At 35.5% G+C, this 23932-nt stretch overlaps 1 protein-coding gene across 10 annotated transcripts in view; it reads left to right on the forward strand.

The window, feature by feature from the left end:
- LRRC7 (leucine rich repeat containing 7) overlaps window positions 1-23932 on the forward strand; it is a 576443-nt gene that overhangs the window by 92429 nt on the left and 460082 nt on the right. For all 10 annotated transcript variants that reach the window (NM_001330635.3, NM_001366839.3, NM_001370785.2 and 7 more), the window contains exon 2: window positions 18031-18128. Coding sequence is in view for 6 of the 10 variants with exons in the window: in NM_001370785.2 (NP_001357714.1) it covers window positions 18031-18128 (98 nt within the window). In the remaining 4 variants the exon portion in view is untranslated. The remainder of the gene's footprint in view (window positions 1-18030; window positions 18129-23932) is intronic.

Here is a 23932-nt window from a genome sequence, read left to right on the forward strand (position 1 = left end):
CAGTGTTTATGCTTTTCTCACTAGTTAATAGACAAACAGAAACAAAATCAGCAACATTTGGATCAATACACATTCTTTCCAAAGCACACCTCAACAATGAATTCGGCAAAAACGTAGATAAAAGCCGATGTTAGATGTTGATATGCAGTAAGGTAAAAGAAAAAGTACAGCCTGGTAAGGAGGATCAAGAATGTTGATGTAGGAGTGGTATGCCAAGTGTAGGATTAACTGTGGTTCTCAGGAAAGGCCCCTGAAAAAGTAACATTTGAATAAGGACTTAATGAAGGGATTCCAAAGAGAAGACATTGCTAGTGTAAAGGCCTAAGGTGGGAGAATATTGTCTATGCTCAAGTTGATTAGAAGGGGAAATAAAAGATTTAAGGGAAGGTTACAGGCAGCCAAACATAAAGCGCCTTTGTAAAGATGTCTTTTGCTCTGTGTGAAATAGGAAGTCCTTGGAGTGTTGGAGGCAGTGCAGTGACACAATTTGACTCATGATTTAAAAGGACCCTCTGGATGTTGAATTGAGAATAGATAATGAGGGAGACGGATTGTAGCATAAAGGCTGTACACGTATGCTCTAACATTCCTTTAATGTGTTATGTATTTAATATATTTACATTAATATAAATAACTTATTTAGATATGCACAAAAGAAGCCAGTAGAAGATAGCCAAAAAGAAAAAAGAAAAGTCCTTGGCCATGTTTGGGGTAAGGAACAGAAAATGAAATGCCAGGTTCAGAGTTTAAAGGGGAAGTGTTATGTCCCAGAGATGTGATACTTCCTCATGACTCCACAAAGTTTTAGAAAAAAAAGAACAAAGATTTTTTAATGCTCGTGGAACTAACACAGAACTATGTGATGTCCACTGACCACTTCAAGCTGCTAGTATATTCACTCAATCGCAAATAAAAATTTAATTTTTCCCAAGAACCTATCTTCCTAAATAAATGAGTCATCTTGATTCTTCTTTCCCTAGTAAAAGATACAGCATATTCCATTTTCTCATCTCAGTATAAAATTCTAAGAGATTAAAAGTATTTTATGCCTTACAACATCCCAGAAATTATAACCATGAGTGTGATCATGTTTTATTTTTCTCATCAATGAGTCATAGCCATCAAACAGTACTCACTTGATTAATCGTAACAGTTCATTTATTTTAAAAAATGCTGAATATCTTTTACTCTGAGTGGTCAGCACCATCTGCAACAATCCTAGAAAATTTACCAGGAGAACATTGTGTCAATACTCAAAAAGCCCCAGATCTAGTGACTAGAAACCATTGCCTTATGATCATAACTACAGCTCAAAGATAATCACCATGGGTAGGACCCAGAAGGAGAGCAGGCTGAAGGCAGAAGTCCAGGGAAGCACTTGGTCTTTACTTCCCCAGATTATAAAATGAATGTCATTTATATTCTATGTATGGTATATATTTAGACATTTATGAACATTTTGAAAAGAATGACATTTTTTTCATATTTGCCAGCTCTCCTCATTTCACTTTGAGGAAGGAAAGCATGCTTTTCTTACAAAAGCATTACATTCCCTCCACACACATTTTTTATTCTGCATCTAACAGCTACCATATATGGTAGTAGTTCCTTCCCTGAGACATAAGAAGCCTCCAGGGGAAGGTGCAATAATCTGAACATGAGCAGAACAGTTTTTTCATTTAGGCAACTTTGCTCAGGTGGGAAGATTGTAGGAATCAGAAAACGTGAGCTTGAATCTGGCTTTGCAGTGACATTGGACAAGTGGGTCTTAATTTCTTCGTCTCTAAAAGACTAAACCCACAGGTCTTATCCTCATCTTTATGAGGATAAATAATATATGTAAAGATGCTCTATAACCATAAGCTCATTAGTACTGTGTAGGGCATACATTTATTGCTAAAACCATTCATTCAATCATTTAAAAATAAATATTTAATGTTTGCTGTGGTCAGTGTTGTTTACAAAAGGTAAAATCTAGATTTTTCAAGACATTCATAATGATACCAATCTATTCTGAATTCTATTTCTTTATAAATAAAGTGAGAATAATGTACTATTGTGTTTGCTATTTTCCTAAATGCGTGACATGGCAATGCACAAACAAGTTTCTTGTTGCTGAAACATTGCTGGTCTTTGTTCTTTTGGTAAATCATTGCTGCCCTTACAAATGAGGAATTTTGTTTAGTTTCCAACTGGACAGCACTTCACAAATCTTTTTGTTTTGTTAAGCATTTCACTCTCTTTTAAGCAGTTTAGGTGTGGTTAACATGTGGTTTCTTTTCACACTAATCTTGCCATTAAACTTTAGATTGTCCTTATTAACTATCAACTCAACATAGTTGGCTGAGATAATTGGGTATCGATTATTTTTGCACTGTCATTTGCAGTTCAAATTGGATCTTTATAAACACTTGAGACTATTTATCAATGGCTATTGAAACCTTGATATGCATGCTTTCAGCATAGTCCTGGTCTGGGGTTTGGTTCACTGTGCTTCAAACTCTACTTTCCTTGGAAAAAAACTTAGTACCTCACTGATAAGGCAAGGCATGTGTCACTGCTTCTTCAACAATTTTCTCATTTCTCTTGAATTCAGAGCCAAATAAGGAAATCTAGAATTCTGAAGAGGTTTCTTGGTTTTAGGGTTTCATGAGGTTGGATGGTCAGAGTGTTGCCCTGTTCTTTTTTTTCCCTGGGCAGGACAGAGAAGACTATTTATTATTATTTCCAACAATAAGATAGAAATCTTATTTCTTCTTTTTCCATAAGAATGGTTAGTCCTACTTTCATTTTTAATTCCTTTTTTTATTTATTTTTTCTTACCATGAATTATTTCTGTTGAATTTTGAGACCTACAGAAATGTGAGTCATATGTATGTTCAACAGTCATGCCAAGTAGAGGCTTTCAGATGTGCTGTAGTATGTAATACAGTTTTCACATGGTTATTTGGATTCAATAAGTTAAAATTCAATACATTTTTTAATTTTAATTTTTAAGGACACATAGTAGATGTATATATTTATGGGTTACATGAGATATTTTGATACCGGCATGCAATGCATACAAATGATATTAGGATAAATAGAGTATTCATCACCTCAAGCATTTATCCTTTGTGTTATGAGCAATCCAATTATGCTTTTAGTTATTTTTTAATTGCACAATTAAATTATTTCAACTATAGTCACTCTATTGTACTAGCAAATATTTAATACTAGGTCTTATTTATTCTTTCTAATTTTTGATACCCATTAGCCCTCCCTACCTCTTCCCCTACACCCTCACTACCCAGCCCAGTCTCTGGTAACCATCGTCCTACTCTCTGTCTCCATTAGTTCAATCGTTTTAATTTTTTTTTTTTTTTTTTTTTTTTTTTTTTTTGAGACGGAGTCTCGCTCTGTCGCCCAGGCCGGACTGCCGACTGCAGTGGCGCAATCTCAGCTCACTGCAAGCTCCGCTTCCCGGGTTCACGCCATTCTCCTGCCTCAGCCTCCCGAGTAGCTGGGACTACAGGCGCCCGCCACCGCGCCCGGCTAATTTTTTGTATTTTTAGTAGAGACGGGGTTTCACCTTGTTAGCCAGGATGGTCTCGATCTCCTGACCTCATGATCCACCCGCCTCGGCCTCCCAAAGTGCTGGAATTACAGGCGTGAGCCACCGCGCCCGGCCTCGTTTTAATTTTTATAAGTGTGAGCATGTAAAGTTTGTCTTTCTGTGCCTGACTTATTTCACTTAACATAATGACTACCAGTTCCCTCCATGTTGTTGTAAATGACAGGATCTCAACCTTTTTCATGGCTGACTAGTATTTCATTGTGTATATGTACCACATTTACTTTAGGCATTTATCTGTTGATGAACACTTAGGTTGTTTGCAAATCTTGGCTGTTGTGAATAGGTCTTCAATAAACATGGGCTACAGATATCTTTTTGATAGACTGATTTCCTTTCTTTTGGATATATACACCCAGTAGTGTTAATGCTGGATAATAAAGTAGCTGTTTTATTTTTAGTTTTTTCAGGAACTTCCAAACTGTTCTCCATAGTGGTTGTACTAATTTACATTCCTATCAGCTGTGTACGAGGACTCCCATTTCTCCACATCTCGCCAGCATTTGTTATTTCCTGACTTTTGGGTAAAAGCCATTTTAGCTGGGGTCAGATGATATCTCATTGCAGTTTTGATTTGCATTTCTCCGATTTTCAGTGATGTTGACCACATTTCATATAATTATTTGCCTTTTGTATCTCTTCTTTTGAGAAATGTCTATTCAGATATTTTGTCCATTTTTAATCGGATTATTAGATTTTCCTATCATATTGCTTGAGTTCATTATATAATCTGGTTATTAATCCCTTGTCAGATGGGTAGTTTGCACATATCTTCTCCAATTCTGTGGGTTGTTGTTTCACTTTGTTGATTGTATCCTTTGCTGTGCAGAAACTTTTTAACTTGATGTGATCCTATTTGTCTGTTTGGGCTTGGTTGCCTGTGCTTTTGGGGTACTCTTCAAAAAATTTTTGCCCTGATCAATGTCCTGGAGAATTTCTTCAATGTTTACTTTTAGCAGTTTCATAGTCCAAGGTCTTAGATTTAAGTCTTTAATCCATTTTGATTTGATCTTTGTATATGGTGAGAGATAGGTGTCGAATTTCATTTTTTTTGCCAGTGGATATCCAGTTTTTCTACAACCATTAATTGAAGAAACTGTCCTTTCCCCAATGTGTGTTCATGGCACCTTCATCAAAAATGAGTTCACTGTAGATATATGGATTTATCTCTGGGTTCTCCATTCTGTTACACTGATCTATATGTCTGTTTTTATGCCAGTGAAATGCCATTTTGTTTACTATAGCTCTGTAGTGTAATTTAAAGGCAGGTAATGTGATTCCTTCAGTTTCCTTCTTTTGCTCAGGATGGCTTTCGCTATTCTGAGTCTCTTGTGGTTTCATATAAATTTTAAAATTGTTTTTTCTATTTCTGTGAAGAATGTCATTAGTATTTTGATAAGGATTGCCTTAAATTTGTAGATTGCTTTGAGTAGTATGGACATTTTTACATTGATTGATTCTTTGTTCATTGTTGATTCTTCCAATTCATGAACATGGAATATCTTTCATTTTTGTGTGTCCTATTCAAATCTTTGTATTAATGTTTTATAGTTTTCATTGTAGAGATCTTTCACTTCTTGAGTTAATTTAATTTCTAGGTATTTTATTTTATTTGTAGCCATTGTGAATGGGATTACTTTATTTAATTCTGTCTCAGATTGTTCTCTGTTGGCATATAGAGGATACTACTGATTTTGTATGTTGATTTTGTATCCTACAACTTTACTGAATTTGTTTATAAGTTCTAATAGTTTTCTTGGTGGAGACGTTAGATTTTTCCAAATATAAGATCATGTCATCTGGAAACAAGGATAATTTGACTTCTTCCTTTCTAATTTGTATGCCCTTTATTTCTTTCTCTTAGCTCATTGCCCTATCTAGAAATTCCAGAACTATGTTGAAAAACAGTGGGGAAAGTGGACATCTTTGTTGTGTTCCTGATCTTAGAAAAAGGCTTTCAGGTTTTCCCCATTAAGTATGATACTAGCTGTGGATCTGTCATAGGTGGCTTTTGTTATGTTGAGGTATGTTTCTTCTATCCTCAGGTTTTTGAAGGTTTTTAATCATGAAGGGATGTCGAATGTTATCAAATGCTTCTTTAGCATCAATTGAAATGATCATATGGTTTTTGTCCTTTATTGCATTGATAGAATGTATTACATTAATTTATTTGCATATGTTGAACCATCTGTACATCCCTGGGATAAATCCCACTTGTTCATGATAACTGATCTTTTTAATGTATAGTTGAATTTGGTTCGCTAGTATTTTGTTGCAAATGTTTGCATGAATATTCATCAGTGATACTGGCTGATAGTTTTCTCTATTGATGTATCTTTGGGTTTGGTATCAAGATAATACTGGCCTTGTGAATGAGTCTGAAAGTATTCCTTCCTCCTCTATTTTTCAGAATAGTTTGAGTAGAATTGGTATTATTTCTTTAAGTGTTTGGTAGAATTCATCAGCGATACCATTCGGTCCTAGGCTTTTCTTTGCTGGGAGACTTATTATTATGGCTTCAATCTAATTACTAGTTATTGTTCTGTTTAGATTTTGGATTTCTTCATGGTTCGATCTTGGAAGGTTTTATGTGTGTAGGAATTTATCAATTTCTTCTAGATTTTTCAATTTATCATCATATACTTGCTCATAGTAACCACTAAAGATCTTTTGAATTTCTGTAGTATCAGTTGTAATATCTCCTTTTTTATCTCTGATTTTATTTATTTGAGTCTTCTCCCCCTTTTTACTCTGGCTAAAGGCTTGTCAATTTTGTTTGCTTTTTCAAAAAAAAATTATTTTTTTCATTGATATTTCATATTGTTTTCTTAATTTCAAATTCATTAATTTTAGTCTGATTTTTATTATGTCTTTTCTTCTACTAATTTTGAGTTTGGTTTGCTCTTGCTTTTCTAGTTCTTCAAGATGCATCATTAGGTTGTTTATTTGAAGTTTTTCTTTTGTGATGTAGGCACTAATAGCTATAAACTTCCTTCTTGGTACTGCTTTTGCTTTATCCCATAGGTTTTGGTATGTATTTCCATTATAATTTGTTTGAAGACATTTTTTCATTTTCCTCCTTAACTTCTTCATTGTCCCACTGGTTATTCAGGAGCATATCATTTAATTTTCATGTGTTTGTGTATTTTCCAAAATTCCCCTTTTTATTGATTTCTAGTTTTATTCCCTTGTGGTCAGAGAAGGTGCTTAATATTATTTCACATTTTTTGAATGTTTTAAGACTTGTTTTGTGATTTAACATATGGTCTATCCTTGAGAATGATCCATGTGCTGAGGAAAAGAATATGTATTTTGTAGCTCTTGGATGAAATGTTCTGTAAATATCTATTAGGTCAATTTGCTCTGCACTGCAGATTAAGTCTGATGTTTCCTTGTTGATTTTCTGTCTGGAAGATCTGTCTAATGCTGACAGTGGGGTGTTGAAGTCTCCAGCTTTTATTGTGTTGGGTTCTATCTCTCTCTTTAGCACTAATAGTATGTGTTTTGTATACCTATGTGCTCCTGTACTGGATGCGTATTTATTTAAAATTGTTATATTCTCTTGCTGAATTCATCCCTTTATCATTATATAGTGACTTTTGTCTATTCTTATACTATTCATCCTGAAATATATTTTGTCTGATTTAAGTATAGGTACTCCTGCTCCGTTTTGGTTTCCATTGGCATGGAATATCTTTTTTCTGTCCCTTTATTTTCAGTTATGTATGCCTTTATAGGCAAAGTGTGTTTCTTGAAAGCAACAGATCATTGGGTCTTGGTTTTTAATCTGTTCAGTCACTCCACAACTTTTGATTGAAGAGTTTAGTCTATTTATATTCAATGTTATTATTGATGAGTAAGGACTTACTCCTGCCTTTTTATCATTTGTTTTCTGGTTGTTTTGTCATCTTCTCCTCATTCCTTTCTTCCTTCTCGTCTTCCTTTTAGTGAAGGTAATTTTCTCTGGTGATATTATTTAATTCATTGCTTTTTATTTTTTGTGTACCCATTGTATGTTTTTTTTTATTTGAGGTCACCATGAGGCCTGCAAATACTATCTTATAACCCATTATTTTAAGCTGATAACAACAACACTATTTGCAAAAACAAATGAGCACAAAGAAAACTAATAAAAACTCAGCACCTTAACTTTGCCTTCCCACTTTTTAACATTTTGTGTTTCTTTTCTCTTTTTATTATACTTTAAGTTCTGGGATACATGTGCAGAATGTGTAGTTTTGTTACATAGGTATATATGTGCCACGGTGGTTTGCTGCACCCATCAACCCATCATCTACATTAGGTATTTCTCCTAATGCTATCCCTCCCCTAGCCCCCCATCCCCCGACAGGCCGCAGTGTGTGATGTTCCCCTCCCTGTGTCCATGTGTTCTCATTGTTCAACTCCCACTTATAAGTGAGAACATGTGGTGTTTGGTTTTCTGTTCCTGTGTTAGTTTGCTGAGAATGATGGTTTCCAGTTTCATCCATGTCCCTGCAAAGAACATGAACTCATCCCTTTTTATGGAGGCATAGTATTCCATGGCGTATATGTGCCACATTTTCTTTATTCAGTCTATCATTGATTGGCATTTGGGTTGGTTCCAAGTCTTCGCTATTGTGAATAGTGCTGCAATAAACATATGTGTGCATTTGTCTTTATAGTAGAATGATTTATTATCTTTTGGGTATAAACCCAGTAATGGGATTGCTGGGTCAAATGGTATTTCTGGCTCTAGATCCTTGAGGAATTACCACACTGTCTTCCACAATGGTTGAAATAATTTACATGCCCACCAACAGTGTAAAAGCATTCCTATTTCTCCACATCCTCTCCAGCATCTGTTGCTTCCTGACATTTTAATGATCACCATTCTAATTGGCATGAGATGGTATCTCATTGGAGTTTTGATTTGCATTTCTCTGATGACAAGTGATGATGAGCTTTTTTTCATATGTTTTTTGGCCACATAAATGTCTTCTTTTGAGAAGTGTCTGTTCATATCCTTCACCCACTTTTTGATAGGGTTGTTTGTTGTAATTTTTATTTATATCTTATCATACTGTCTATGTCTTGAAAAATTCTTATGGTTTTTTTCATTGGTCCATCCTTTAGTCTCTCTACTTAAGATAAGAATAGTTTATACACCGCAGTTACAGTGTTATAATACTCTGTGTTTTTCTGTGTCCTTACTATTACCAGTGAGTTTTGTACTTTTAGATGGTGTCTTATTGCTCATTAATGTCTTTTTCTTTCTGATTGAAGTACTTCCTTTAGCATTTCTGGCAGAACAGATCTGGTGTTGATGAAATCCTTCAGCCTTTGTTTGTCTGGGAAAGTCTTTATCTGCATGTTCAAAGGATGTTTTCACTGAATATAGTATTCTAAGGTAAAATATTTTTCCTTCAGCACTTTAGATATGTCATGCCATTCTCTCATGGCCTATAAACTCTCTACTGAAAAGTCTGCTGCAAGATGTATTGAAGCTCCATTGTGTGTTACTTGTTTTTTTGCACTTGATGCTTTTAGGACCTTTTCTTTATCCTTGACCTTTGGGAGTTTGATTATTAAATGAACTGAGGTAGTCTTATTTGGATTGAATCTGCTTTATGTTTTCTAACCTTCTCATACTTGGATATTGATATCTTTCTTAGGTGAGGAGTTATCTGTTATTATCCTTTAAAATAAAATTTCTACCCCTACCTCTACCACCTCTTTAAGGCCAGTAAGTTTTAGATTTGCCCGTTTGAGGCTATTTTCTAGATCTTGTAGTCATGCTGTATTTTTTTTTATTCTTCTTTCTTTTGTCTTCTCTGACTGCATATGTTCAAAAGGCTGTTTTCATGCTGACTAATTGTTTTTTCTGCTTGATCAACTCTGCTATGAAAAGACTCTGATGCATTGATGCATTCTTCAGTATGCCAATTGGATTTTTCAATTCCAGAATTTCTGCTTGATTCTTTTTAATTATTTCCATCTCTTAGTTAAATTTGTCTGATAAAATTCTGAATTCCTTCACTGTGTTACCTTGAATTTCTTTGAGTTTCCTCAAAACAACTATTTTGAATTATCTGTCTAAAGGTCACATATCTCTGTGTCTCCAAAGTTGGTCTCTAGTGCCTTTTTTAGTTCATTTCATGAGGTCATGTTTTCCAGGATGGTCTTGATGCTTATAGATATTCATCTGTGTCTGGCCATTGAAGAGTTAGATATTTATTGTAGCTGTCAAAGTCTGGGCTTGTTTGTGCCCATCCTTCCTGGGAAGGCTTTCAAGGTATTCAAAAGGACATGGGTGTTGTAATTTAAGCCGTATCTGCATTAGGGAGAACCCGAAGTTCATTAATGCTGTGGTTCTTGCAAACATAGAGGTACTACCTTAGTTGTCTTGCATAAGATTCAGATCGTTTCCCTTACTTTCTCCCAAAGAGAGTCTCTTTCTCTTTTCTGAGCTACTTGGAGCTGTGGGTGGGATGATACCATCCTGGGACTGCACTGGATCAGACCTAAAGCCAGCACAGCACTGGGCCTCACTGTAACCACTCTCTGGCTACCACCTATGTTCAGTCAAGGCCCTGAAGTTCTAAAATCAGCAGGTAGTGAAGTCAGTCAGGCTTGTGTCTCTCCCTTCATGGTGGCAAGTTCCCCCTGGCCCCAGGGAGGTCCAGAGGTCCCATCTGGGAGCCAGGGACTAGAATCAAAAACCTTAGGAGTATACCTAGTATTTTAATTTACTGTAGGTGAGCTGGCAGTCAAACCATGAGACACAGTCCTTTCCACTCTTCCCTCCTCTTTCCATTGGGAGAAGAGTCTTAGCCCATGGCCACCATCTCCACAGACCCATGGGGATTAGTGATAGGCTACCATCAATATTCCCTTAAGGCTCAAGGGCTCTTTATTCAGTTTGTGGTGAATGCTGCCTGGCATGGGACTCACTATTCGGGGCAGCGGGCTTCCTTTTGGCCCAGGATAGGTCAAGAAATGTCATGCAGGAGTCGAGGCCTGGAACTGGGGACCCCAGGAGCCTGCTTTGTGCTCTTTTCCTCTGTGGCAAAGCTGGTACCTAAGGTGCAAGACAATGTCCCCTTTACTTTTCCCTTCACTTTTCTCAAGCAAGAGGAGTCTCTTCCCATAGCCACCACAACTGGGAATGTGCTGAGTCTCACGTGAAGCCAGCAAGTCTGAGTCTCACCTGAGGCCACAGCATAGTATCTGGGTATCACTATTGGTTATTCAGGGCCCAGGGGCACTTTAGTCAGCAGGTGGTGGATCCTTCCCCTCAAGGCAGCATGTTCCCTTCTTGCCTAGGGTGTGTCTAGTAGTATCATGTAGGAAGTAGGGCCTGGAAAGGGTGCCTCATGACTTTGACTGGTGCTCTATCCTACTGTGGCTAAGCTGGTATCAACGATCCAAGACAAAGTTTTCTTACTCTTTTCTTTCCTCTCCTCAAGCAGGAGGAAGGAGTGAGTCTCTTTTGGAACCATGAGCTGTGCAGCCTGGGGTTAGAGGAGAAGTGGCAGACACATTCCCTTAGCCAACCAGTTGGTATCTCAGTAGGTCACATATGCTCCCAAGTCCACTGGCGCTGAGCCCAGTTCAGTCCTAGGACTTACCTTAGAGTTGCAGTTCCAGTGTCCTAGACTGCCTTTCAAGTTTACTTATGGCCTCAGAGCATTTTAGCCCATGGTAGTGAGGCTTCCTGGAGCTCAATTTCCTGCTGCTGGGATGGGCAATACTCCTGTGGCTAGGGCTCGTTTAAAAACTCCCTCTGTGGTCGGGCATCAGCTGAGTTCAGCCTAGTTATGCTTTCTGCTATGACAGGGGCAGCATTGAGTTCAATGCGATGTGTCATGCAACGGCTGCATTCATCCTGTCTCAAGTGCTAAGATTCTCCATGCCATGTGGCCGCTGCTGGGGGATGGGGCAGAGTAATGTTTGCAATTCAGGACTCTTTCCTGCCCTCTTCAATGCCTCTTTCAGTGACATGAAGTTAAAACCAAGCACTGTGAGTGTTCACCTGGTTTTTGGTTCTTATGAAGGCACTTTAAAAAAATTTTTTTTATTATACTTTAAGTTCTAGGGCACATGTGCACAACATGCAGGTTTGTTACATATGTATACATGTGCCATGTTGGTGTGCTGCACCCATTAACTTGTCATTTACATTAGATGAAGGCACTTTTTGTTGTGTGTGTAGATAGTTGTTAAATTGGCGTCCTATCAGGGTGGGGTGGTGATGATCGGTGGAGCCTATTTGGCCATCTTCCTCTGCCCTTCTACTTAATACATTTTTTTAAAAAAATTGTATTAAGTAAAGTTCAGTTCCTCAGTCATACTAGCCACATTTGAAGTGCTCAATAGCTGTATGTGGCTAGCAGCCACTTTATTGGACAGCACAGATATTGAACATTTCCATCATTGCAGAAAGTTCTATTGCACAACCCACTTCATAGTTAACTGATCTGAGGTCAGACAGATCTGGATTTAAATCTTGATTTTTGCACTTATTCTATGTGTGATCCTAAGCAAGTCACTTATATTTCTTAGACTTAGGTTAACCATGGATAAAATACAGATGACATGGATAATGTACATATAAAGAACCTAACAAAGCACCTGGCATATAATAGGCATTTGAGAATATTTATATTTGAAACCTTTATTCTATTATCCCAACTCCCTTTTCCTCCAGTGAGCCAATCATTCTCCTATGTCCTCCTCCATCAAGTGTAAATCTATTTCAACTAGATTTTCATGCAGACTTCACATCCTTCATTCACTAGCCACACTGCCATCTCAGTCCATGATTCTAGATTAGTCCAAACATATTCCCTGATCCAACTGAGTCAGCCAAACCTTGTTAAGGGATATCATTTCACTATTGAGATTATCAACAGTGAGTTGATAATGTTAATGAGCAGCCTGTCGGTTCCTGTGAGTGACCTCCAGGCAACTTGGCAAGCCTTTGATTGTGCTTTTCTGGCTACTCTTTTCATTTTTGATAATTTCTATTCTAACTGCAGTCTCTTCCTCAGGCCCTACATATCTGTGTTAATAGACAACTTTATCACCTGAATGAATTCAATGGACTTGTCTTCCCTACAATTCCAAGTATATATTTTTTATTTACAGAGGTTCCCAAATGCCAGGATCTAAACAAGTGTACACAGCTGGCTGGCTACTTTAGAAGCACCTGATTAATCTAAAAAAGAAAACATCAACTAGGACTTGACCTCAACCTACTGCATGATAATCTTTAGTACTGGGAAAATCACTCCTTGGGTGATTTTGAGACTCTAGCCAAATTTGGGAGACACCATCAAGAATGTCATGGACACTTTTTGCTTATAACTGTTAATTGCTATTTCATGCTATTTGATATTAACCTGGCTGCCCTTATTTCCTCCTAGCAGTTGAACACGTAGGCTGCACTTTTTCAGAGCTCTTCAATGAGTTGTTAGAGCATCTGTCTCACCTGTGGTCATTACATTTAATCTCTCTTTGCTAGAATTGTTAACACACTCCCACTGGTGGCTTGCCAAGCTTGAGAGTAGCTAGAACAGCTCCTTTGCAGTGACCTGGCTGTGCTCCAAGATTTCATTTTTGGTCATTTTGTCTGACTATTTAATGCAAACTGTAGATCATAGATAATGGTGGTGAAAGAGTTCAAGTAACCAGAAGTGTAATCTTGAGAAGATGCAAGTTTCAGTTATATAATAATTTAGACACAAACATTGCTCTGCAAAATTATTAACTTCATTTTAAGTATGTTTCCAGTGGGCATCACATATAGCATTCCAAGGAACAAAACGACTTTTAGTATTTTTTTTATATTTTCACCTATTTGTGTATCGTTCATGTAATTTATAGTGAATTGTTTTGGCCCCAGTTATCTTTTTGGCAGTTCTCAAAAACTTAAAATGTCACTGATGGAAGCAAAAATTTCAGTGACAATAGCAAAATGATAAGAAATCAACATGTAATCAACATATTAACACTAAAAACATATATTTGAATATAAATATCATATTTATATATATTTTACATCTATAACACATAAATATGGAGGCAGGGCCTCGCTCTATTGCCCAGGCTGGAGTGTAGTGGCATGATCACAGCTCACTGCAGCCTCCACCTTTGCGTCCTCAAGTGATTCTCTCACCTCAGCCTCCTGAGTATAGATATTAAAATATAAGTGTTAATATTATGTTAATGATAATTTTACCAGAATTAAAAATACATTATATATTTGAATCTCAGGTATTCACTCCCCTAGTGGAATTATAATCATGAACTCATGGAAATAATGGACTAAGAAGCAACTAGAAAAGTCCAGAAAAGATTGGTTAAATCTTAGTTGAGCCTTCTTCTACTTCTGATGAGGCCATGAGCAAGTCACTGAGCATATCTGGGCTTAATTTCTTCATCTTTAAAATATTCTTTCATAAAGTTGTTCAAAGGATTAATGAAGTAAATGGTAAATGGTAAAGTAAATGAAGTAATTTACTTCATGAAGTGATAAAGTAAATGGTAAATATATTACAAAATATTTTAATTGTTTCTAAGGTCCAAGGTAACTATAAAATTTTGAAATATTTTCTAAATTCTCTACAAAACCTGGAATTTTCTAGAACTTTAGTTAATTCATGATGACGACAACCCACTTTTATCCCTGTTAGTGTCCTCGGAAAATTGTCATTAGTAATCCCTTAAATCTTATTGATAAAAAATGAAGTATATTTAATTAAGTTCTTCATCTATAAAAATTGGCCACTTATATACCTGGATATTTTGTGTTTCCCTAATAATCAGAAAATTTCTAAGCTAATTTTTTTTCCTCAACAGTACTATCTGTTTTCATTTTCTTTATTAAAGACCAATTGTAATATGTTTCCAAATATATGGAACATTTAAAATATTAGTATATGATCACATTTTTATTTGTGATAATCATTATTAATAATAGCTTCATTTACCGAGCTCTCCATTGTGACAGACACAACGCAAAGCATTTTACATGTGTTACCATATTTAATCCTCACAACAATCCTGTTGTGTATGTAAGCACATTAAGTAAGGCACAAAGTATGTGAGTAACTTTACCTAAAATCATCCTTTAAGAAACAAAAAGAGAGGTTAAGCCCAGGCATTCTGATTCCAGAGCTGAGGAACATTACATTTAAGCCATGCTACATTGCCAGCATTGTATAATCTCTTGCATATCTGCTCATGAGTATTCCCAAAATACAACCTCTGAACACCATGATTCCTGGGAGGCTAACCTGAGGGTCTTGGATACCAATAGTAATCGTTTAAATCCTCCCATAGCCTTTGAAAGTACTTTCTAATCTGTTTTTGAGTTTTTCTGACATACCCTGAACCATAATTACATGGAAATCAAGGAGACCACTTTTGTTTTCACATATTTGATAGAGATAAAAAGGAAAAATAATAGCCTATTCAAGAGAGTAGTTTTCATGTATTCCCCAACCAACATAACTTGTCATTCCCCATCAGAGTGTAATCACAATGAGTAAAAGTGTTTTTAAAAATTACACTACAATTTTATGTAGACATTTGCATGTGCAGGTTCTGTTTGCTATAATTTACTATCTTAAGCTTGTAAATACTAGTGAATAATTATAAGCTCACTTAAATTGTTATTAGATCATCATGGAGATTTCTGCATTTGCCGAAACACATAATCAAAATTGTGCGATGAATTAATTCAAGAGTCAGAAACTAGAAAATTTGATATAATTTAGTTCGCATAGCTAATCTTCATGATGAAACTGCAGGGACAGACCTAGAAGCTTAATCTTCACCCCGCCCCCCACACGCACACATATAATGTTGAAGCAATTTATGTCTTCAATTCTTCAAGTTTCCACTTGGTTTCCTGTCGCTGTATTATCATTATCTTGAGAGAAATAACTTTTTCTCACTTGACATGAATTTTGAGTGAAACTAAGATTCAAGTTATCACTGCACATTAAAAAACAATTTCTTATACTTTACAAACATAGGGATAGGCATATGAGTGCATGCACACACACACACACACACACACACACACACACAAGCACATAAAGCAGCCTCTACATATGAATAGACTGATTTCAGAAAGTATATTTGGAAGACTTTTTTTAAGCCCCAATGATAAGTTCCCATAGGAGTAGTATTATGTTATTATTCCACCACAAAAAGCCTTTTTATCTCATATTTTCCACCACTTAACATACTGCTTTTGTGGGATGATCCTTTGTCAATTTCCCCTCCAGACACAAGGAACATAATCCTCTCTCTATGCTACTAATCCTAGGAGACCCTCTGCCAGTATACCCGTAATAATCACACTGTTTTCAATGGTATGCATGCTATCAACCAGGACAGTTATCAAAACCAGTGATATCCCTGGTTGAGGATAATCATATAGATATTAAGAAATCATGTTTATATTTTCAAAATGATAAATACTATGATTTAGTTCCAAATTTTCAAATCCTGAGCATTCAATTTTTTTAGTGTTATAGAAGTTAGTAAAGTGTACATTGATGTGCAAAACTGTAAACTTTATGGAAAACAGAAAATACTGACCACAAAGTATATGCTGTTAAAGATGCTCACCCAAGTTGTGTTTGATTAATTTATTATTTTCTGGTTGTCAGCATCGCCGTGTAACTAGTAACTGAAAGGTACAATTTATATTAACCACTTTTTTCAAGAAATCACAATTATTAGAATTTAAAAACATTCTGATTCAGTCATTAGTATGGAATTAAATCAGCAATTCCATTCTTGAAAACTGGTACTTTTTAAAAAATTTTCTTATTTCAATAGCTTTAGGGGTACAAGTGGGTTTTGGTTACACACATGAATTGTATATTGGTGAAGTCTAGGATTTCAGTGCACATGTCACCTGGATAGTGAACATTGTACTCAATAGGTAGTTTTTCATTAATTAACCTTCTCCCACCCTTTCCCTTCTGAGTCTCCAGTGTCCATTTTACCACTCTGTGTGCTTTTGCATACTCATACCTTAGTTCTTACACTTAAAAGTAAGAACATATGGTATTTGGTTTTTGTTCCTGAGTTACTTCATTTAGAGTAATGGTCTCCACTTCCATCCGAGTTACTGAACATTATTTCATCCTTTTGTGGCTGAGTGGTATATATAAACACATATACATGGTGTGTGTAGATATATATGAGCGTGTGTATATATTCTACATATATATACCCCACATCTATATATATAATATATAACATATATTATATATGTTATATATATATCATATATATATCATATATGTATCATACATATCATATATATCCCACATTTTCTTTATCCACTTATAGGGTGATGGGCAGTTAGGTTGATTTCATATATTTGCAATTGTGAATTCTGGTGTAATAAACATATGAGTGCAGGTGTTTTTATGAAATAGTGTCTTCTTTTCCTTTGGGTAATCAGTAGTGGGATTACTGGATCAAATGGTAGATTTACTTTTAGTTCTTTGAGAAATCTCCATACTGTTTTTCATAGAGAGTATACTAGTTTACATTCCCAACAGCAGTGTATAAGTGTTCCTTTTTCACATCCATGCCAACATCTATTGTATTTTGACTTTTTAATAATGATCATTCTGGCTGGGGTAAGGTGGTATCTCATTGTGAAAAACTGATATTTGAAATGTTGGTGAAAGATATGCTTTTTCTTTCTGAATGATGACCTTAGTTTTTTAAATTTATTTACTTTGCAAATAATTACTCTTTAGTCGATAGGTCTTTATTTTATTCAGCTTGGGCTGCTATAACAAAATACCATAGACTCGGTGGCTTAAACAACAGACTATTGCTCTTAGTTATGGAGGCTAGGAAGTCCAAGGTCAAGGTGCTGATAAATTTGGTTCCTTGTGCAGGCCTTCACTGTGGCTTGAAGACAGCTTCCTCCGTGTGTCCCCACATGGTGGAGAGAGAGAGAAGTCTACCTTTTTCCCTTTTTCTCTCTCTCTCTTCCTATAAAGACACTAATCCCATCATGGACGTTCCATTCATAACCTCCTCTAAAACTAATTACGTCCCAAAGGCCCTACCTTCAAATCACACTGGGGGCTGGTGCTTCAATATTTGAATTCTGTGGGGACATATTCCGTCCATGGCAGTCTCTAATTAGAGAATGTGCATAAGTTTCATACACATGGTGTTTTTAATTTTTTTTAATTGGGATGCTGGAAAAGTCAAGCACTCTTCAATTTACTATGGTCCCCGATGCTCCCTGCCAGCTTGCTCCTTGCCGGATCATCTTCATGGTGTTGTCTAGCAAAGTTCTGTGGGAATTTGAATTTTAGACCATTTAACTTGTAAACATTTATCCAAAAAAAAGAGTATGAAAATACTCTTCTGATTCTCTCTTATAGGATGGAGAACCTAATAAGGGGAAGGAATCCCCCGCAATACCAGAGAAGTCCTTGTAAAGAGGTTCGTGCAGCACTTCGGAAGAGGCCTGAAGAGGAGTGTAAGTATGTTTAATAGGATTACCTGTGTTCTAGATAGATTTTGGTGAGTAGCATAGTAAAATGAAATGAGTGACCTTTAAATGGTTAGTCAAGCAATAGAATATTTGTTGAGTCGAGTTGGTCTTTTAAAATAAGTTACCATATGTTACCTGAATGTAAGTGCTTACTTAGAACATTGCTTTCTTAAGAATATTTCTCTGGTACTTCAAGATGTTCTACTGATAATCAAGTTCCATGTTCAAATGAGATGGGAAAAGGCTGTACAGTCTGACAGATCTTTCTTGTATATTTATACCATGCATGGTAATGGTTCTGAGACGTCCTGAAGTAAAGAAACTTTTGAAATGTATCTAAAGTCAACACTTTCCAGTTTCCATTTAGCCACAGGGCTCTTTTAACATTTTTTTTAACTGAGAACTTTTTAAAACCACTGCATTAGACAAAATAATAGATATCTGCCGGTAAATGTAAACCTGTTTGCCAAATGGAAACATTTGATTTAATTGAATTTAGGAAAATGTTCTGAAAGATAGATACCATGAATCTCAATATAAAGTCATTTTAGTTCATCCTCAAATTATTAAATACTAGAATATGCCATTGGCTGTAGGGATTATATTTATTTATTATCTGTAGCATGTAGCAGATTGTTGGAGACTCTTGACATAATATTCACATTTTAAGTTTATAAAATGATCCATAATACCAAGTTTCCTCATGGTATTTGCATATAATTATTTTCAGGGAATGAAATCACATTTCATTATGATAAAAATTTGTCAGAATTTTGTCCTTTTACAGGAACTTACATTTTACAAGGATAAAGCTAATGTAGTGGGTTCACTGAAGTATACTGTTAAGTAGAATTTTAAGATTATATTGGCGTTTTTAAATTAGTTTGAAGTATACTGCTCTGGGTAAAGACCAACTATATTAAAGCAGGGCACACTCATGGCAAATGAATTGTTCTTGTTTTGTTTATTATAAAGTTAATAGATAACCTTACTGAGCTGACATATATGTCATTCAATAGTGTTTTGGCCTTCTTTAACCTGGTAGATTTATGGCTTATAACACCATAAACAATATTTAACTAAAACTAAAACTTGAAACTAAAGATAGAGTTCATGGGCATTTATAAGATGCCAACTCTTGCATAAAAGTATTGCGTATTTCTGTTGGGTTTATAGAAACACTTCGGGGTTTCTTCTCTATGCTTCAAGGAGACCATCAGTTTAGTCTCTGGTACAGTTCTGTAAATATTTAAATAAAACTTAAAAGGGATATTTGTAGATATGTTTGCAAATGGTTATCACAGAGTTACCATTTAACATAAAGTGATTTTTCAGGACTCTTGTACTGAGTTGGTCTAAGCCAGGGGTTGGCCAATTATGGTTTGTTGATGAAACTCAGCCTGACACCTTTTTTGTAAGTACAATTGTATTGAAACACAGCCATCATTTATTTATTGTATATTATGCACAACTGATTTTGCACTACAAAGGAAGAATTGAGTAGTTGTGACAGAGACCATATGCCCACAAAACCTAAAATATTTACCTGGGTCTTCATAAAAAATCTTTTTGAACCCTGGTCCAGGCCAGTGGTCCTCAAATTGTGATCTCCAGGCTAAGAGCAGCAGCAGCAGCAGCATCTGGGAACTTGTTAAAAATGCAAATTCTAGTGCTGCAAGCCACACCTACTGAATCAGAAACTCTTAGAGCAGGGCCTGGTGACCTGTATTTTAAGAAGCTCTGCAGGAGATTCTGATGTAAGCTCAAGCTTGAAAACTACTAGCCTAGGTAAAATGATTGACATCAGACGATACTAAATCGTTATCTATACAAAAGAGGAATAATCATTGGTATAGTTCATAATCAAGTTTTATTGTTCTCTAATATAAAGTATGTATGTTAAGCTACCTAATATGTGCTTAACAAGGTACATGATATAACCGTCACTTGTGTTATAAATTCTCATCAATTGGATTGTGACGATCAGGGAAGTCTTTGAAGTGTCACCACAGAAATTCAGCTGGAGTTATGTTATCGAACATGGAAAGATGTATTGAAAAATGCAAAATCTATAAAATTGTTTTCTCTTGCATAGAGGTCTTTATTTTCCCCTGTTAGTACAATGAGCAATTCTACTTGCTCTGTGACAGACTAGTGTGAATTCCATGAGAAAAAAAAAAGCCACAATTTTTTTTTTTTTGTAATGGAAGCAACATATCATGGTAGTTAAAACTATTAACTTTAGAGACACATGAAAGGATTTATTCTCTAATTTGACCAGATGCAGGACCAGGAATAGTTATTTTAAATACAAAATTCAGTTTATTTATCTGAAGAAAATGAGGACATGCTAGAGCCTACTTAATAGAATTATTTTAAGAATTAAGGGAGATATTTATATTAAGTAGTTGGTACAAAACCTAGGATGTAGCGAGTTTTCTTTTCTCTCTTCTCTTTTTCTGTCTCTTTCTTTAATTGTTATTATTGTTCTCTTATTTCAAACTAAACATTTGTTTGAGGATAATAAGGCATTTTTTGAGATCAGGAATGCAAATGCACACATATTACCACCACTATTTTTAGAAACAATAATGCATGGCAAAGAAGAGGTTCTAAATAAATATCATAAAGCTGAAATTCTTGCAGCAATGTTAGATGGTCATTCATGTTTGATATTAGTTTAACACAATGGCCTAGTTGTTTTTCTGTGATTCTACAGATTCAGTATAGATCTACACCAAGACTTGTCGGTCAACTCCCACACAAAGGTGCCACCTTCGAAAACTATCATAGAAAGTCAAATCATAGTAGCTTTTCTGCACTAAGAATTGAAAGGAATAAGGAAACTTGGTTCAGACCATAGGATCCTCCAGAGTAAGGAAATCACTCTTTCATTTGGAGATACTGTATACGGGAAGGTTTTGCTAAATAGTATACTTTGTATTGTTTTCTTTTATAATTCTCTATACCACTTTACAATATTTGCAATGTTAAAATCAACATAGACGTAGATCTAAGTTATTTAATGGGAATTATATCTACCTATGCTGCATCCGGCATAGTCAAATAAACTTTCAATAAAAATGGATTATTGTGGAAGACAGATTTTTAAACATGTTTAAGGTATTCCCCATTAAAATACAAAATAAAATAAAAACTTTGTCCTCAAAGCCACAGCCCCTTTCAACTACAGCCCTACACTCTTGTTCTCTGTCCAGGAAAATGTTTTGATTTATCTAAGAGTTATCTACACTCACTCCATTTACTTGCCTCCCACTCACTCCTCCAAACCAGTCCAGTCTGATTCCTGTCCAGTCACTCTACTGAAACAGCTTTTGTTCAGAGCACCAGTAATTTTTTATGTTGCTATAATAGTTTTCTATTGCTGTGTAACAAATTAGCACAGACTTGTGTCTTAAAACAACATTCATTTATCATCTCACATTTTCTGAAGGTCAGGAGTCCAGAGTTCGCTGCTTCAGTTCTCACTAGGTTGAAGTCTTATCAAAAGTTCAACTGGGGAAATAATTCACTTCCAAACTCATTTAGGCTATTGGCAGAATTTGTTTCCTTGTGGTGGTATGACAAACAGTCCCAGCTTTTTGTTGGCTGCCAGCTGAAGTCACTTTTAGGTTCTAGAGGACTCCAGAAGCTCCTTGCTGTATAGACTTTCTAAATTAGCCAATTTACTCCCTCTTCTCAGGGAGAATTACCTCTCTTTTAAGTACTTTCACCTGATTAAGTCAGGCACACCCAAGATAATTTCAATTTTGATTAACTCAAAATGTGGGATCATAATTACACCATTGCCTTTGCCATATTTTATTGTCCAGAAGAAAGTGATAAGTCCAGCTTATATCCAAGGAGAGGGGATTATACAGGGTTCAAGCATTAAGGAGTATGTTGATGATCATGGGGCCATCTTAGAAGTCAACCTATCATTTGCTAATCCATCAAGCATTGTTTTCAATGCTCATCTTACTTGATTTTTTAGCAGGAATCAATACTGTTGACCATGTTGTCCTTTTGAAAACTGCAATGCTGTTAATATTACTATCCCTCCAAACTGTATATGTTAAAACCCAATTGATGTTATATCATGAGACAGGCATTTTGGAGGTAATCTATGACAAGGAACCATCTATGAACCAGAAAGCGGGACTTACCATCTACCAAATCTGCCAACATCTTGATCTTGGATTTCCCAGCTTCCAGAACTGTGAGAAATAAATTTTTGTTGTTTATAAGCTACCTAGTTCATGGATAGGCTAAGAAAGAGATCATCTAATGCTTTGGCTACCATAATAGAATACTTTCCTGATTTTTCTATAGTCCCTCTGGTTACTCTTTTGCATGCTCAACTTTCTCTTTTCAGCCATTATATATTAGAATTTTGGAAGACAGTTTGAAGTCTTCTTTTTTGTCCCAAATATACTTCCTCTACAAACAATGTCATTACATGCAGTATTAGTTTTTCCTATAATCAGATGACTCACAAATTGATGTCTCTAGACCAAACGTCTCTCTGTTCATCCCAATGTGCACTTGACACATTCTTGAATGTTTCAACAATGCAACAAACGCAACAAATTCAAAACCAAAACTATGATCTTTCAAAGCCTGAGCTTCCTCCAGTGTTTTCTGTCTGAATGAGTGGTGCTGTTAATCATCTAGATTCAAAATTCATAAACCCGGGAGTCCTCTTTCATACATTTCTTCCCCTTTTCTCTCCTACGTTCACTCTAATTTCAAGGCCTCTCAACTTGACCTCCTACATATGTTTTGAATCTGTTCAGAAATCACCTTTGCAAATATTCTGTGTAAGATTCTACCAAATGCTCCCCAAAGTGGCTTTCCTGCATACTGTTAGAAAACCCTCCTTATCTTAAAATAACCCTATGGTTTTCCATTGCTCATTCAAGAAAGACAATAGCCATACTGTGGATTATAAGATTTTGCAGTCTAGCCTCCACCCACCCATTCAGCCTCATCTCATACTCTATTCCTGTGCTCTCTGTGCTTCAACCAAACTGGCTTTCTTATAATTGTTGATCATATTCAGTGATAAGAGAAAAATATGTATTTTGAAATAATATAGAACTAGAGGGAAGAAGTTAACCTGGAAAGGAAGAGTTTGCCTTCAAAAATAATACATGAAGAAACTAGAAGAAAAATTAAAAAGATTAAATTTTTGATAGTCACAAGAAATACTCTAAGAAATATCTGCAAAATAAACAATGTGGAAAAACTTTTTTAGAGAAAAGAAAAAGAAAAATGAACATTATTGAGCAGGGAATTATAAAAAACTAAACATGAAGATCAGAATTAAAATCTTTACTGGAGTCAATAGAATAATTTACATGTAAAAATATCAGAAATTGGAACAATTGGAACTGGAAGCACTCCATGAATACAAAGGAAAGATGATGAAATAATAAATAATTATGGGAAACAATTACATGTGGAAAAATGGAGAATGAAAATCCAACCTAAAAATTATAAATTGTCATAAAGGAATCAGAACAATTCAAACAAAAATGATAAAAGATTTAATGTAATGTACTTTTTGAAGTTATTAAAATATCTGATTGTATATTCAAATGTTTTCTGATGTACTGTATAAAAATCAGTTATATAAGATCCATACCCAGATACATACAGACAGATATTTTAGAATTATACTATCAACTCTCTGAGCAGCAAGAACTCCCTCTTATTCACTATATTAATAACACATGACATATTGCCTGGCAGTTAGTAGGTGTTCAACAGATATTTTAGAATGAATG

The sequence above is a fragment of the Homo sapiens genome, chromosome 1 (genome assembly GCF_000001405.40).
Source record: "Homo sapiens chromosome 1, GRCh38.p14 Primary Assembly".
In the NCBI taxonomy this organism is placed as follows: domain Eukaryota; kingdom Metazoa; phylum Chordata; class Mammalia; order Primates; family Hominidae; genus Homo; species Homo sapiens.